General features: G+C 39.9%; 1 protein-coding gene and 1 pseudogene across 10 annotated transcripts in view; both read right to left on the reverse strand.

The window, feature by feature from the left end:
• LIMA1 (LIM domain and actin binding 1) overlaps positions 1-14,956 on the reverse strand; it is a 107,733-nt gene that overhangs the window by 73,593 nt on the left and 19,184 nt on the right. For 2 of the 10 annotated variants that reach the window (NM_001394888.1, NM_001394886.1), the window contains exon 1: positions 303-555. The exons of 7 other annotated variants lie outside the window; for them this stretch is intronic. The gene's annotated coding sequence lies outside the window, so the exon portion shown is untranslated. Of the gene's footprint in view, positions 1-302; positions 556-14,956 lie in introns of those variants that run through there. One more of the 10 variants, NM_001394887.1, reaches the window with a different exon arrangement.
• On the reverse strand, positions 6,858-6,964 carry RNU6-1093P (RNA, U6 small nuclear 1093, pseudogene; annotated as a pseudogene).

A 14,956-nucleotide genomic window follows, 5' to 3' on the forward strand; every position in this document is an offset into this window, starting at 1 on the left:
GGAGGTTTTGATATAGATTTAAGGAGATAATATATTTAAAATACTGGGTATATTACAGTAGTATTAAGAGCATTTTAAGTATAATTATTATCATTGACTCTTGTTATAATTCTCATTTTAAAGCCTTTATCAAGGAGAAGTATAATGTACTTTAAGTTCAGGAGACAAACCCTATTTTCCAACATCCCTTTCAGCCAAAGAATACATAAAGCCATACCCTTGATATCACCTAGTCCCTACCCATTAATCTGGATCGTTTGGTTATTTTGCCCCACTAATTACCAAAGGAAAGGAGTTCCAACCTTTGTCCAGAAGACGAGAGATTAGAAATGAGTCAACAGTTTCCTTATTTGAAGAGTGAAAAATATAAAGTACCACTTTGTTTCTGATCCAGGAGTCTTGAAAACTAAAAAAAAATAATAATAAAGTACTGCTAATTCACAGCTTACCAGAAGTAAAAGAAAAATAAAGTACTACTTGCAGCTCTTGGCAACCGAAGAGCATAACTGATCTGGTTGAATGTATGGTTCATCAGGTACTGCTTTCAATAACCTTGACAACTGTAGAACACAGAGAGTATTTAAATCCAGCAACTCAAGCTGCCATTTCACATTAAAAGTCCTGGGTCAGGCTGGGCATGGTGGCTCATGCCTGTAATCTCAACACTTTGGGAGGCCGAGGTGGGTGGATCACTTGAGGTCTGAGGTCAGGAGTTTAGGACCAGCCTGACCAACATGGTGAAATCCTGTCTCTACTGAAAACACAAAATTAGCCAGGAGTGGTAGCGCATGCCTATAATCCCAGCGACTTGGGAGGCTGAGGCAGGAAAATTGCTTGAGGCAGAGGTTGCAGGGAACCGAGATCACACCATTGCACTCCAGCCCAGGCAACAAGGACGAAACTCCGTTTCAAAAAAAAAAAAAAAAAAAAAAAGGTCCTGGGTCAGACATGGTGGTTCATACCTGTAATCCCAGCACTTTGGGAGGATAGCTTGAGGCCAGGAGTTTGAGACCAGCCTGGGTAACATAGCAAGACCCCCTCTTCTCTACAAAAAATTAAAAATTAGCTGGGCGTGGTGGCACACACCTATAGTCCTAGCTACTAGGCCCAGGAGTTGGAGGCTACAATGAGCTATGAATTGCGCCACTGGACTCCAGCCTGGGTGACAGACCAAGATGTTCTCAAAAAAAAAAAAAAAAAAAAAAAAAGTCCCGTGATGCAGAATAAGCAATGGACAATTCTAAAAGACCACACTACTACTGTTCTACATGTAATATTTGTTCTTCCAATGAAATCCTTGTCGGAAAATAATACTAGTTTTGTTAATATGTTTTAATCCTCATGTTGGAAGGCATAGTATGCCCTTTAATGGTAAGGAGCTCTGGGTTAGAGACAGATAAGTCTAAGTGGGAATGTTGGCCTCATCACTTAATGAAAAGTTTCCCTAAAACTTGGATTTCTCATCCATAATAATAGCATTTACTTCACAGTATTCTTATGAGAAATAAATAAGATAAAGAAGAAAAGACCCTGATACAGAATAAGTAAGCAATAAATGTTACTGTTTAGTGTTTTTAATGTTTTCTTTTCTTCCTGAACAAAATAATCTTAATTCTATACATGTACTTTGCAATAAACTGGAATGTACCAAATAATACATGATACCTATTTGTCTATCTGGTATTAAACTGGCAGACTCACCAAACAATGCCAGCCCCTTCTCTAAGATGAAAAAGACACAGAAGCAACAAACATTTCAGCTAAACTTAACTATATAAAACTATCATAGTTTTTTTTAAACTCTGTAAGGCAAGTTAAGGAAATGCTAATGAATGCTTTAAGATATTATTTGGTAGAAATATACTACCAATATAGTTGTGGGTATAAATACTGTCAGTTCTTCCATAAAGATCAACTCTGGATCAAAGGGGAAAAAATATATACAAGATACATTTGCAGGCCAGGCACGGTGGCTCACACCTGCAATCCCAGCACTTTGGGAGGCCGAGGCAGGCAGATCACTTGAGGTCAGGTGTCCAAGACCAGCCTGACCAACATGGTGAAACCCAGACTCTACTAAAAATACAAAAATTAGCCAGGTGTGGTGGTACACCCCTGTAATCCCAGCTACTTGAGAGGCTGAGGCAGGAGAATCACTTGAACCCTGGAGGCAGAGGATGCAGTGAGCTGAGATCATGCCACTGCACTCCAGCCTGGGTGACAGAGTGAATGAGACTCCACCTCAAAAAAAAAAAAAAAAAAAGGTATGTTTCTAAAAAAGGAAAAGGATTTATTATTTGAGATACCGAGCACGATAAAGAAAAAAAAGGTTAACTCCCAAGTCTAAGTCCGTGGTTTTGATTACTCCCAGCCAGAAAGTTAAGAAAAGTCAGAACATCTATTTTGGTATACAGCTAGGAGAGGCACACAGTTCTTAGAGTTCTTACACTCAGGGAATGAGATGACTCTCACCCTGACCACACTTGTCTTCACAGAAGCATAATGTTATTTCTTAGCAATGTGATTAGTACCTATGAAACAGATAAACGTGAGAATCAATACATGATTTTTGATAGACTCTGGTACCAGGCTATTGAATAACTACTTCTTATGAGATGTAGGGAGATGTCCCTGCCTGAATGGTGTACATAATCTACTGTGCTTGCTGACATACACACAAATATTTATAGTACAAGACAGAATGTGGTTAGAGGCTATGCGTGGTGTAGGAATACAAGACCTGATTTTCTGGCTTTGTGAGAGGGAAAGGAAAAGATATCAGATGACTTGGGACTTAAAGAACGGGCAGAATTTCATCAAAGTGAAGGCAGGAGGAGGAAGGAGGAGAATAGCATTAGCACCTTTGGGGAGTGAGTTAAACTCTAGGTGCAAGAGAAGTTGAAGATAGACAAGACTTGGCCAGGTGTGGTGGCTCACGCCTATAATCCCAGCACTTTGGGAGGCTGAGGCAGGCGGATCACCTGAGGTCAGGAGTTTGAGACCAGCCTGCCCAAGATGGCCAAACCCCATCTCTACTAAAAATACAAAAAATTAGCTGGGCGTGGTGGCACGCGCCTGTAATCCCAGCTGCTCGGAAGGCTGAGGCAAGAGACTCTCTCGAACCTGGGAGGCGGAGGTTGCAGTGAGCCGAGATTGCACCACTGTACTCCAGCCTGGGTGACAAGAGCGAAACTGTCTCAAAAAAAAAAAAAAAAAAAAAAAGACATAATGGGGCCTGACTGGGAAGAAAACCATGCTAAGGAGTTTGGGCCATATTTCAATAGTGGGAAGAAGTAACCCATGAGTGATCAGAGATTAGGTCTAATCTTATGTGCTATTTACTTAGCACATGCATGGTTTTTATAACAAAAAAAGTTTCTGATCCTCAATATCCACACCTGTAAGATAAGATCTCTGTAGTGGATTAACCACAGTCTCTCTGGTGGAACACAGAAAGTTTCTGAAAAAGCATGTAACATGACTAACATCATATTTTAAAATATTATTCAGCAGTAGTGTGCAACTTGCTAAGAGGGAAAAAGACTGGAGTCTAAATTACTAGTCAAGAAGATCCTGAAACTAAGTGAGAGGTAATCAAGGTTTAAATTCGTAAATTAATTAGGGTAGGTGGAAATGGAAAAGTGGGAAGAGAGAAATTGACAGTTCTTAGAATAAAATGAACTTAGGGTAAAAGAGAATCAAAGCTGGCATCATCAAACCCGAATGATGGAAGGCTGTTGATTCCATTAACAGAGACAGTAAATATAGAAAGAAGAGGGAAAATGATGAGTGTTGATTTACACATGTTGAGACATACATGTCAGCAAGAGAAATCCAAATGATATACAATAGGAAACTACAAATTCAAAGCTAAAGTTAGAAATCCGACTCTTGGAAGATTTTAAGACACTAACTTTATGCTTTGCATATATCTCAATCCTCACAATCATTCTACAGGATTGGTTTTATTGTCTTATATTTATGGTAACGAAATTGAGATTCAGACATATTAACTTTACAAAGATCACTTAGCTATAAAGTAGCAGAGCTGGGATTCAAACGCATATTCTGTTTGATTCCAAAGTCCATTTTCTTTCAACTACAATTAATGAAGAATGATTAAAACCGCCACTTTTAGCCAATGTAGAAAACCAGCTAGAAAAATCCCTGAACCACCTAGCTGAAAACCCATACAAATTATTTTTCAGTAAGAGAATAGTGGTGAGTATCTTCCCAGAGTGGTGAATATCAGAGATAATCATTCCTGCTTTCAGGGAAACTTAAAAGTTATCCTGGGCTCACTTGGAATACCCTCCATTGTAGTAACTGGCTTTCATTGGCCTGCATTAAAGGTGTGGTATTGGGGCCAGCATGGTGGCTCACGCCTGTAATCCCAGCACTTTGGGAGGCTGAGGCAGGCGGATCACCTGAGGTCAGGAGTTCCGGACCCAGTCTGGCCAATGTAGCAAAATCCTGTCTTTACTAAACATACAAAAAATTAGCCAGGCATGGTGGCAGGCGCCTGTAATCCCAGCTACTTGGGAGGCTGAGGCAGGACAACTGCTTGAACCCGGGAAGCAGAGGTTGCAGTGAGTCGAGATCATGCCATTGCACTCCAGCCTGGGCGACAGAGCGAGACTCTGTCTCAAAAAAAAAAAAAAAAAAAAGAAAGGTATATTATCTCTCCCCACCCACACAGTCTCTCTCAGATATGAGTTCCATTTTCAGACTTTCAGACTCCAAAACCCATTCTCTTCAGTCATATGCATTCTACTACCACATGAACTGTGAAGGAAGAACTGCTGGATTGGAAGACAGTTGGCTGCAAGAGTTAAAGGAAACATATAACAAAAATAAACACAGATTTTTAGCTTCAGAGACTAGAAGGATCGTTGCATGACAAATAAATGGTATACATAGAAAGGGGAACAGTTTGCTGAGAAGGAAGATGCCTTCAGTTTCAGATACAAATGGCAGATTTTTTTCATTAAGAAAGTAGCTTGGAAATCAAGTAACCAAATCCCCTTTTTTACAGTGAGGAAACTGAGATGCATAAAGCTCCAATCATTTTCCAAAGTCACCAGCTGGTTAGTATTAGAGCTAGAGTTCTAACTCCCAGGATCAATGTTCTTTTATCAAACCAGGTAGCTTGAGATGGGCCACTAAATTGTCCTAGGGTAGGGTAAGCTGTAGCTTGGAGATAAAGATCTCTCGAACAAAGGTCCTTGAAAAGTTGAAGAGTGACTCACTGGGAAATCTGCCCCAGGTATCTGCTTCCTCAAGCTGTTGCTTACGGTGAGGCCGGTAACTGCTCCAAGAAACCTATTCTAATAAATTCATTTACAGACTCTCCTGACCAAGGAAACTGTCTCTCAGAAACCAGGCTTGGACAAAAACAGCCGGGCGCGGTGGCTTATGCCTGTAATCCCAGCACTCTGGGAGGCTTAGGTGAGTGGATCACTTAAGTTCAGGAGTTCGAGGCCAGCCTGGCCAACATGGTAAAACCCTGTCTCTACTAAAAATACAAAAATTAGCCAGGCGTGGTGGTGCATGCCTGTAATTCCAGCTACTCGGGAGGGTGAGGCAGAAGAAAAATTGTGTCACTGCACTCCAGCCTGGGCAACAGCACAAGACTCTGTCTCAAAACAAAACCAAAAAAAACAAAACAAAAAAAAACCACCAAACCAAACCAAAAAATAAATGAGCTGGCCCTGCAACCAGCCCTCCCCAAGCCACTAATAAAATCCTGTTCTTATATATCCGATCTCAGTGGCCTCCTCTCTTTTTTTTCTCCTGAGATGGTTACTTATTCAAGCTGTATGGCTTCCTGAACATAGCCTCAAAAAATTAGAACAAAGTAAAAACTACAAACTCACTTATGAAGAAAAAATGGGCCACATGTGGTGGCTCATGCCTGTAATCCCAGCACTTTGGGAGGCCGAGGCAGGCAGATCACATGAGCTCAGGAGTTTGAGACCAGCCTGGGCAACATGGTGAAACCCTGTCTCTACAAAGAAAAAATACAGAAAACTATCTGGCCATGGTGGTGTGTCTGTGGTCCCAGCTACTCAAGAGGCTGAGGTGGGTCACTTGAGCCTAGAGGTTAAGGTTGCAGTGAGCCGTGATCACACCACTGTACTCAACCTGGACTATAGAGCCAGACCCTGTCAAAAAAAAAAAAAGAAAAGAAAAGAAAAAAAAAAGTAAAGAAAAGAAAGAAAAGAAAGGAAAGAAAGAAAAGAAAAACATTATTTTTAAGAAATAGATTGTAGAGTTTTAGTTTTTCTACCAACCTCTCTTCCCAATTTGAATGTCATCAGGTAAAAGGGAGCAATTAAAAGAAAAAAAAAAACTAAAAAACTTCAAGTTGCAAAGGGAATTTTAAATAAAAGCAACATGAAATACATTGCTACATAATGTTTTTTCAGAAAATTACATTTCTAAATTTATATTTCTGTACAAAAATAGTGACTAAATTCACATTCTTGAACATTTTTTGGAAGTTAATAGTTATTTATTTTTTTTTTGAGATGGAGTCTCACTCTGTCGCCCAGGCTAGAGTGCAGTGGCGCAATCTCGGCTCACTGCAACCTCCGCCTCCCAGGTTCAAGCAATTGTCCTGCCTCAGCCTCCTGGGTAGCTGTGATTACAGGCATGTGCCACCACACTCGGCTAATTTTTTTTTTTGTATTTTTAGTAGAGATGGGGTTTCACCATGTTGGTCAGGCTGGTCTTGAACTCCTGACCTCATGATCCGCCCGCCTCGGCCTTCCAAAGTGCTGGGATTACAGGCGTGAGCCACCGTGCCTGGCTGGAAGTTAATAGTTCTTTAACCTTTTTTTTTTAAACTTTTTTTTTTAAACATGGACTGCTTCACAAATTTGTGTGTTAACTTCACACAGGGACCATGCTAATCTTCTCTGTATCATTTCAACTTTAGTATATGTATGACTGAAGTGAGCACTCACCTTTTATTCTGAAACAATTTCATACATAAGAGTTGCAAAAACAGTACAAGAGTTCCCATATACATTTCACCTAGCTTTATCTTATATTACCATAGTACAATTAGCAAAACTAAGAAATGAGCACTGGTACAATACTATTAACTATAGACTTTATTGAAATTCCACCAGTTTTTTAATTAACGTCTTATTTCTGTTTCAGGATCATACACTGCATTTAGTTGTCGTGTCTTCCTAAGTCTACCCCAATCTATGACAGTTACTCTGCTTTTCCTTGTCTTTCATGACCTCGATATTGTTGAAAGTATTGGTCAGATATTATGTAGAATGTTCCTCAATTTGGGTTTCTTGGTTTCTCCAATAAAATAGAATCAAGACTCCTTGGAGAAGCGGTTGATTCCAGAGCTGGGGAAGGGCAAATACAAGATCAGCCTGGAACATCTTGCAATACTCAAAAGACAAAACAAAAAAAAGTTTTTTTAAAAAACATGATATTTTCTCAGATTAGATTGAGATTATAAATGTTTGAAAGGAATAATCCAGAGTTGATGTTCCCTTCACAGTGCATCATATCAGAGGGTACGTGATGTTGATGTGATGTCTTATTACTCACGACATTAGCCTTGATCACATGGTTAATGTGGTATATCAGGTTTCTCCTCTGTAAAGTTATTATTTGTTTTCCCTTTGTAATTCATAAATATTATGAGGGAGAACTTTGACTCTGTTTCTCCTTAAACTTTTTCCCATTAATTTTAGCATTCATGGGTGTGTCTTGCTTATGGCAATTATTACTGGTATTCTAATGGTGATTTTCTGTTACTGTCATCCTTTCTACATTTATTAATTGAAATTCTTCTATAACGAAGATTTGTTCTCCCTCATTTATTCAACCATTTACTTAGAAGATTTTACATTACTTAGAACCATTTACATAGAGATGAAGTCTCCCTATGTTGTCCAGGCTGGTCTCAAATTCCTGAGCTCAGATGATGTTGAAGGCCGAAAGAGTGAGGGTCGTGATCAACTCAGTATACCACTGGAGGCTATATGAGTAAACAGCAAACTGTTCTCATGAATGCAGAATGTTGGCAAACTGACAAATTGCATCTGCCACCCAGAAGGAATGCTGAGGGCAGTCACACCAGCAGTGTTTCTTGTGATTAGGCATAATTGATACCTGTTAACAGTAATATGAACCTGTGATCAATTAAGCAGCTGACCAATCGTTACCTCCTCCTCCCTGCTCTTTCTACCCAATAAATACAAAGGGCTGTGGAAGCTCAGTGGGCTGCCTTTGCTCACTAGAAGCAGGGAACTCTCTTTTTCTTCCTCTGACCCCTTCCTTTAAAATAGTTACTTTTAAGTTTTCATTTCTGCTTTCCACACCCTTAGTTCAGTCTTATAATGATGGTCTCAAGTAGTAACAGTAGTAACTGTCATAGTGATGGTCTCAAGTAGTAACCTTGGCAGTATGCCACAAGATGATCTTCCTGCTTCGGCCCTCCAAAGTGCTAGGATTACAGGCATGAGCCACCACGTCCAGCCCAACCATTTATTTATATTAGGATGGTTTCATAGATAGTTACTTTATTCCCTGTATTATAATCCAATACTATCCTTATTTTATTGCTTAAATTGTTCCAGCTCTTGGAGTTTTTGGCTTGGCTCCAGTGTTCTCTCAACTTGCCCTGTTTTTTGTTTGTTTTGTTTTTAGCACTTCCTTACTTTCTAGCACTGCAAGATGTTCCAGGCTCGTCTTGTATTTACCATGCCTCAGCCCTGGAATCAACTATTTCCCCAAGGAGCCCTGTTTTCTTTTATGGGAGAAGTTAGCATCTGGGCACTACTAGTTATGCTCATTGCCACTGAGATGTCACTGCTTCTAGGCGTCTTAGTGGACAAAACCAAGAATTATATGTATGTATACTGGCCCATGTATACACACTGCTTTTTGTGTGTGTGTGTGTGTGTGTGACAGAATCCACTGTCACCCAGGCTGGACTGCAGTGGTGCAATCACAGCTCACTGCAGCCTACCTCCTGAGCACAAATGATCCTCCCACCTCAGCCTGCCAAGTAGCTGGGACTAGACACATGCCACCGCGCCTGGCTAATATTTTAAATTTTTTTGTAGAGACAGAGTCTCCCCGTATTGTCCAGGCTGGTGTCAAACTCCTGGGCCTAAGTGATCCTCACGCCTCAGCCTCCCAAAGTGCTGGGATTATAGGTGTGAGCCACTGTGCCTGGCCTATAGGCACACATTTCTTTATTTAGCTCTATATCTACCTATACTTTTTTTTTTTTTTTTTTTTTTTTTCTGAGATGGAGTCTCACTCTGTCACCAGGCTGGAGTGCAGTGGTGCGATCTCGGCTCACTGCAACCTCTGCCTCCCGGCTTCAAGCCACTCTCCTGCCTCAGCCTTCTGAGTAGCTGGGACCGCAGGCATGCGCCACCACACCCGAGTAATTTTTGTATTTTTAGTAGAGACAGGGTTTCACCATGTTGGCCAGGATGGTCTCGATCTCTTGACCTCGTGATCTGCCCACCTCGGCCCCCCAAAGTGCTGGGATTACAGGTGTGAGTCACCGCGCCCAGCCCTATAAAAATTTTATAAACTATAAATTCATACTGATATTTCTGACTCCAGTCTAGCATCACAAGGTTCATTCTAGTATTCCCTCTTGGCTTATTTATAACTTCTTTCTCTGATAGTAAAAAGCCTAACCCCACAGAACTTTGATTTCTGAAAACAGATCTAGAATCTCTAAAATTATGCCATAACCAGCTTCTCCTCCCATGATACACCGTATATTTTTTTCACTCCATTTGAAATGTTATCCCGTACTCAACCTATTCACCTTAAAAGACTCAAGTGAAAGAACACACATGGCCCTTTTCCAAACTGCCCTAGCCCTATTCCTAATCAGCATAAGTCAATCCCCCTGCCTTATAATAATTTCATAATTCCTACTCAATAGCAAGATATTTGAAGTCAGAAGACAGATCTACTTTGTCTTTTAACCTTCTGACATCTAGTATTTAATACATTGCTTTCTAAATAGAAAGAACTCTATAAATACGCCTTCCATAAAATTACACATAGCTTTAAGTTTTATCTGAAACACAATTAGTACAGAAACTGAATGCTTATCCTGCAGTCCCAAGACTAGTTATGAGGAAGCATATATTTTTCAGAACTGTGAATTACCCAGTAATTTTAGCTTATTCAAACTCTCATATAAACTCACAATATAAAAAAATGGAACCACTAAATAACATCAAATGTTATAAATAAAAAGCTCACTACTCTATTATTCAGAAACATGATGATAGACAAGTCTGCAGGCATGTTAGAATAATCACTGCTACTGTTCTTGGAAGAGCTTCAGGTATGTGTAGAAACATGAATCTAGACAATAGCACAATTGTAACATTGACCAAATTCCCAGGGGTCAACAAGAATGTAAATGTTTACATCAGGACAGACTCACTTCAATAATATTTGATCTCTTTATCGCCTTTTAAAGGATATTTTGTGCCTTCAAAAACACTAAGACCCAGAGCAAAAGCAACAAAAATGAGGCTGTGTAATTGAGAATAAATTCCACTTTTCTCTTTTCTTGCAGAATCCTCTTTTCCTACCTCCACTCTTACTCCCAGGAATCAATAAAGAGTCAGTCTCTCTCCCTTCTCTGAGCGAGCTCACTTACTCTCAACTCATCAAAAGTCACTTATTCCACATGATTCCCAAAGCTGGATCCTAAGGCCTAACTTTCCTGGCTTCCACTCCTAGAGTTTCTTTTTTTTTTTTTTTTTTAGACAGAGTTTCACTCTTGTTGCCCATGCTGGAGTGCAATGTCGCAATCTTGGCTCACTGCAACTTCCGCCTCCTGGGTTCAAGTGATTCTCCTGCCTCAGCCTTCCGAATAGCTGGGATTACAGGTGCTCACCACCATACCCGGCTAAGTTTTTGTATTTTTAGTAGAGACGAGGTTTCACCATGTTGGCCAGGCTGGTCTCGAACTCCTGACCTCTAGTGAGCCACCCGCCTCGGCCTCCCAAAGTGCTGGGATTAGAGGCGTGAGCCACCACGCCCAGCCCAGTCCTAGAATTTCTACTCCATGCTGGATAGTTTCATATGTCCAATATGCAACGTAACATAACCCAAATCATATGTATTATCCTTTCTTAACCTCTACTCTTCAAATTAAGTTCATTTAATTACAAATCATTTTTCTCCAAAGAATTGGTATATGAATTTTTGCTTCTATCAAATAAAATAACACATAACATAGTATAACAAAATGTACACAAAGTTTGAAGTTAAAAGGAGAACTTACAGGTTCTCACTGGGCCTCTAACTGTGGTGACATGTGCAAGTTTCTTTACTTCTCTGAGGCATATACCATTACCTACCCTAGCTAGTCAAAAATTCTATATAAAATGCCTAACACAGGGACACATTTTGGAAAGAAAATAGCAAGAGGCTAAGGGCATGGGGCATGGATTAGAATTTAGCTGTTGAGATCTCTCACCACGAACACTAGCTGAGTGATCTTGGGCAAGTTTAATAACTTGCCCCAAAAAAAAAAAAAAAAAAGGAAGTCATTTATTTACTTATTTACTTATCAGTAAATGCTATTTTACCCCTCTCCCTGCTTTTTTTGTCTTTTGCTTTTCTGCCATCTAGTATATTTTTTTTTTTTTTTTTTTTTTTTTTTTGAGATGGAGTCTCGCTCTGTCGCCCAGGCTGGAGGGCAGTGGCGTGATCTGGGCTCACTGCAAGCTCCGCCTCCCGGGTTCACGTCATTCTCCTGCCTTAGCCTCCCGAGTAGCTGGGACTACAGGTGCCCACCACCACGCCCAGCTAATTTTTTGTATTTTTCAGTAGAGATGGGTTTCACCGTGTTAGCCAGGATGGTCTCCATCTCCTGACCTCGTGATCTGCCCACCACAACCTCCCCAAGTGCTGGGATTAGAGGCGTGATAGTGTATTGCTTTCTAAATAGAAGGAACTCTATAAATGCAGCTTGAATAAAATTGGACAAAGCTTTGCACATATGGATTTTGCACAAGCTTTTCCTCACATCTTTAGGTATGCTCAAGTTATTTCTTGATGCAAGCCATTCTCTGAGCACACTACTCCCCCCGAGGACACTGCTACCCTCTGTCTGAAAATGCTTGAGCCTCCCTGGCCTTCTGCTATGGGTCCCAGCTTGGGTGACACTTTGTTCCAGATGCCTTCCCTGACCCCTCAAGCTTGGGCTAAAAGGTTCCCTATAAGTTCTCAAAGTATTAGACCTATCCCTACCTGATCAGATGGTAATTTTTTTTCTGAGACAAGGTCTCACTCTTATCTCCCAGGCTGGAACGCAGTGGTGTGATCATAATTATTGCAGCCTCGAACTCCTGGGCTCAAGCGATCCTCCCAGCTCAACCTCCCAAAGTGCTGGGATTACAGGTGTGAGTCACTGTGCCTGGCTCACACTGTAATTTTTTAAAATCACACTGTATTTTAACTTGCAGAACAGTGCCTGACACATGGGGGGCACTCAAGTATTTGTTAATGAAGAGAGGGATCCCAGGCATCTGAAATAATTTTTTGGATTCAGCTATTTTTAGAGACTAGTGTTTCTGGGGAAAAGAAATCAAACAATAGAGTAGGTTGTATATGTTTATTCCAAAATAAATCATTCCAAGGTATGGGAAACCAGTGGAGATAGCCATCAAAAAAATGGTCTCCAGTATTCTACTAAGGTAGAATAAAACTGAAACCCATCAATATTGTTTTAGTTAACTCCTTCTACTGAGATAATTTAGGTGTTTTCTTATAAATGCTAATGAATTACTATTTGGCTCTACAGGTAACAAAGCCAAATAGTAATTTTAGAAACCAAAAGGAAGATGAGAAATAAAGGGGGAAAAACACTTAATTCAGTTGGTCACAAATTTGAGTGTACATAGAATCACTTAGGAAACTTGTATACAATACTGATTTTTCAGGTCCCATCCCATGATTCTGATTCATTAGGTCTGGAGAAGGGCTCAAAAAACCCACATTTTAATAAGAAGAACGTTGAAGCAACTCTAGTGTCAGAGGTTCCCTCATCAAATGCTGGAAAACACTGAATTAAAGGGTTTAAGGCTGGGCACAGTGGCTCATGCCTGTAATCTTAGCACTTTGGGAGGCTGAGGAGACAGGACCGCTTAAGGTCAGAAGTTCCAGACCAGCCTAGGCAATATGGCGAGACCTGTTCTCTGCCAAAAAATAAAGTAAAATAAAATAAAATAAAATAAAATAAAATAAAATAAAATAAAATAAAAATTAACTGGGCATGGTGGTGCATGCCTGTGATCCTTGCTACTTGGCTGAAACAGGAGGATCACTTGAGCCCAGGAGGTCAAGGCTGCAGTGGGCCATGATCACACCATTGCACTCCAGCCTGGGCAACAGAGCAAGACTCTGACTCAAAAATAAGTAAGTAAAGGGTTTAAGACCTACATGTATTCTAAGAAAAATGGAAAGACAGCAACATAAAATATTTCTTATATTGCCCACTTCAATTTCATGTTGCCATTCAAATTTGACAGTGTAAGGAAAATGGCTGCTCTTTAAAAGTACACTGAGGTTTGGACAAAAATGAATCTGAGACACTGCACTGATTAATTCAATCTGCCTAATTTGATGCCCATCATCTAGGTTCACCTAGTACTTTTCTGTCCAGACGGCACAAAATCATTGTGTTAAAACAATGACTCGTGATAATAAAATTGAGTTATTCTCATTCTTTTTTTTCCTCTAGCCAGGTCTGTTGCTGAATTTAAAATGCTGCTTGAGAAAGATAAGAAGCTTAAAAAATAGAAACTATTTTATTTTTATCTACCGAATAAAAGGGCAACTATAATTTACTGAGAGGTCAAAGTTAAAGCAGGGAGCCAACAGGCTTGTGCTCTCATTTTGAATCTGCCACTAATTAGTGGTATGGCCATGAACAAGCCACTTCTCTGGGTCCTCTTTCTTCTTGTGCAAAATGAAGGGGTTAAAATAGCCTAGTGTTTTTCTAGCTGCAGGTCACAATTAGTGAGTTGTAAAAGCAACTTGAGCGATCAGAAGCAACATGTTTGTTTTGATGAAAAAGAACAGAATGCAATCGAAAATGTCAAAGTGCATCAGACATAGTATAGGTAGGTTTTTTCTAAAGTTTTTGTTTCAGTTATTTGTATGTGTATAAACTGAGTAGGAATGTAAAATATTTCTTATTGTGGGGTATAGTTAAAATATAGTTTGACAAGTGTTAGCGAGGACGTGGAGAAACTGGAACCGTTATACACTGCTGGTGGGAATGTAAAATGGTGCAGCCACTTTGGAAAACAGTCTGGTGGTTCCTCAAAAGATTAAACACAGAGTTACCATGGGATCCAGCAATTCCATTCCTCTGTGTGTGTGTGTGTGTGTGTGTGTGTGTCTATATATATATAGAGAGAGTATATATATATATATATAGAGAGTATATATATATATATATATAAAGTATATATATATATATAAAGTATGTATATATATATATATACTCAAGAGAAATGAAAACACATGTCCACACAGAACTTGTACACAAATGTTCGTCAACTGATGAAAGGATGAACAAAATGTGGTATGCCCATACAAGGGAATATTATTCGGCTATAAAGAGTAATGTAGTGCTGACACATGCTACAACATGGATGAACCCTGAAAATATTAAGCTAAGTGACAGGAGCCAGCCACAAAAGACCATTTACTGTATGATTACATTTATATGAAAGGTCCAGAACAGGAAAATCTATAGAGACAGAAAAAGAATTAGTGGTTGCCTGGGACTGGCAGTAGGAAGACAAGGAACTGACTGCTGATGGGTATGAATTTTCTCTGGAAGGTGATAAAATGTTGTAAAATTGATTATGGTGATGGCTGCACAACTGTGTGACCATATTAAAACCGCTGAACTGAG

The sequence above is a fragment of the Homo sapiens genome, chromosome 12 (genome assembly GCF_000001405.40).
Source record: "Homo sapiens chromosome 12, GRCh38.p14 Primary Assembly".
NCBI lineage: Eukaryota > Metazoa > Chordata > Mammalia > Primates > Hominidae > Homo > Homo sapiens.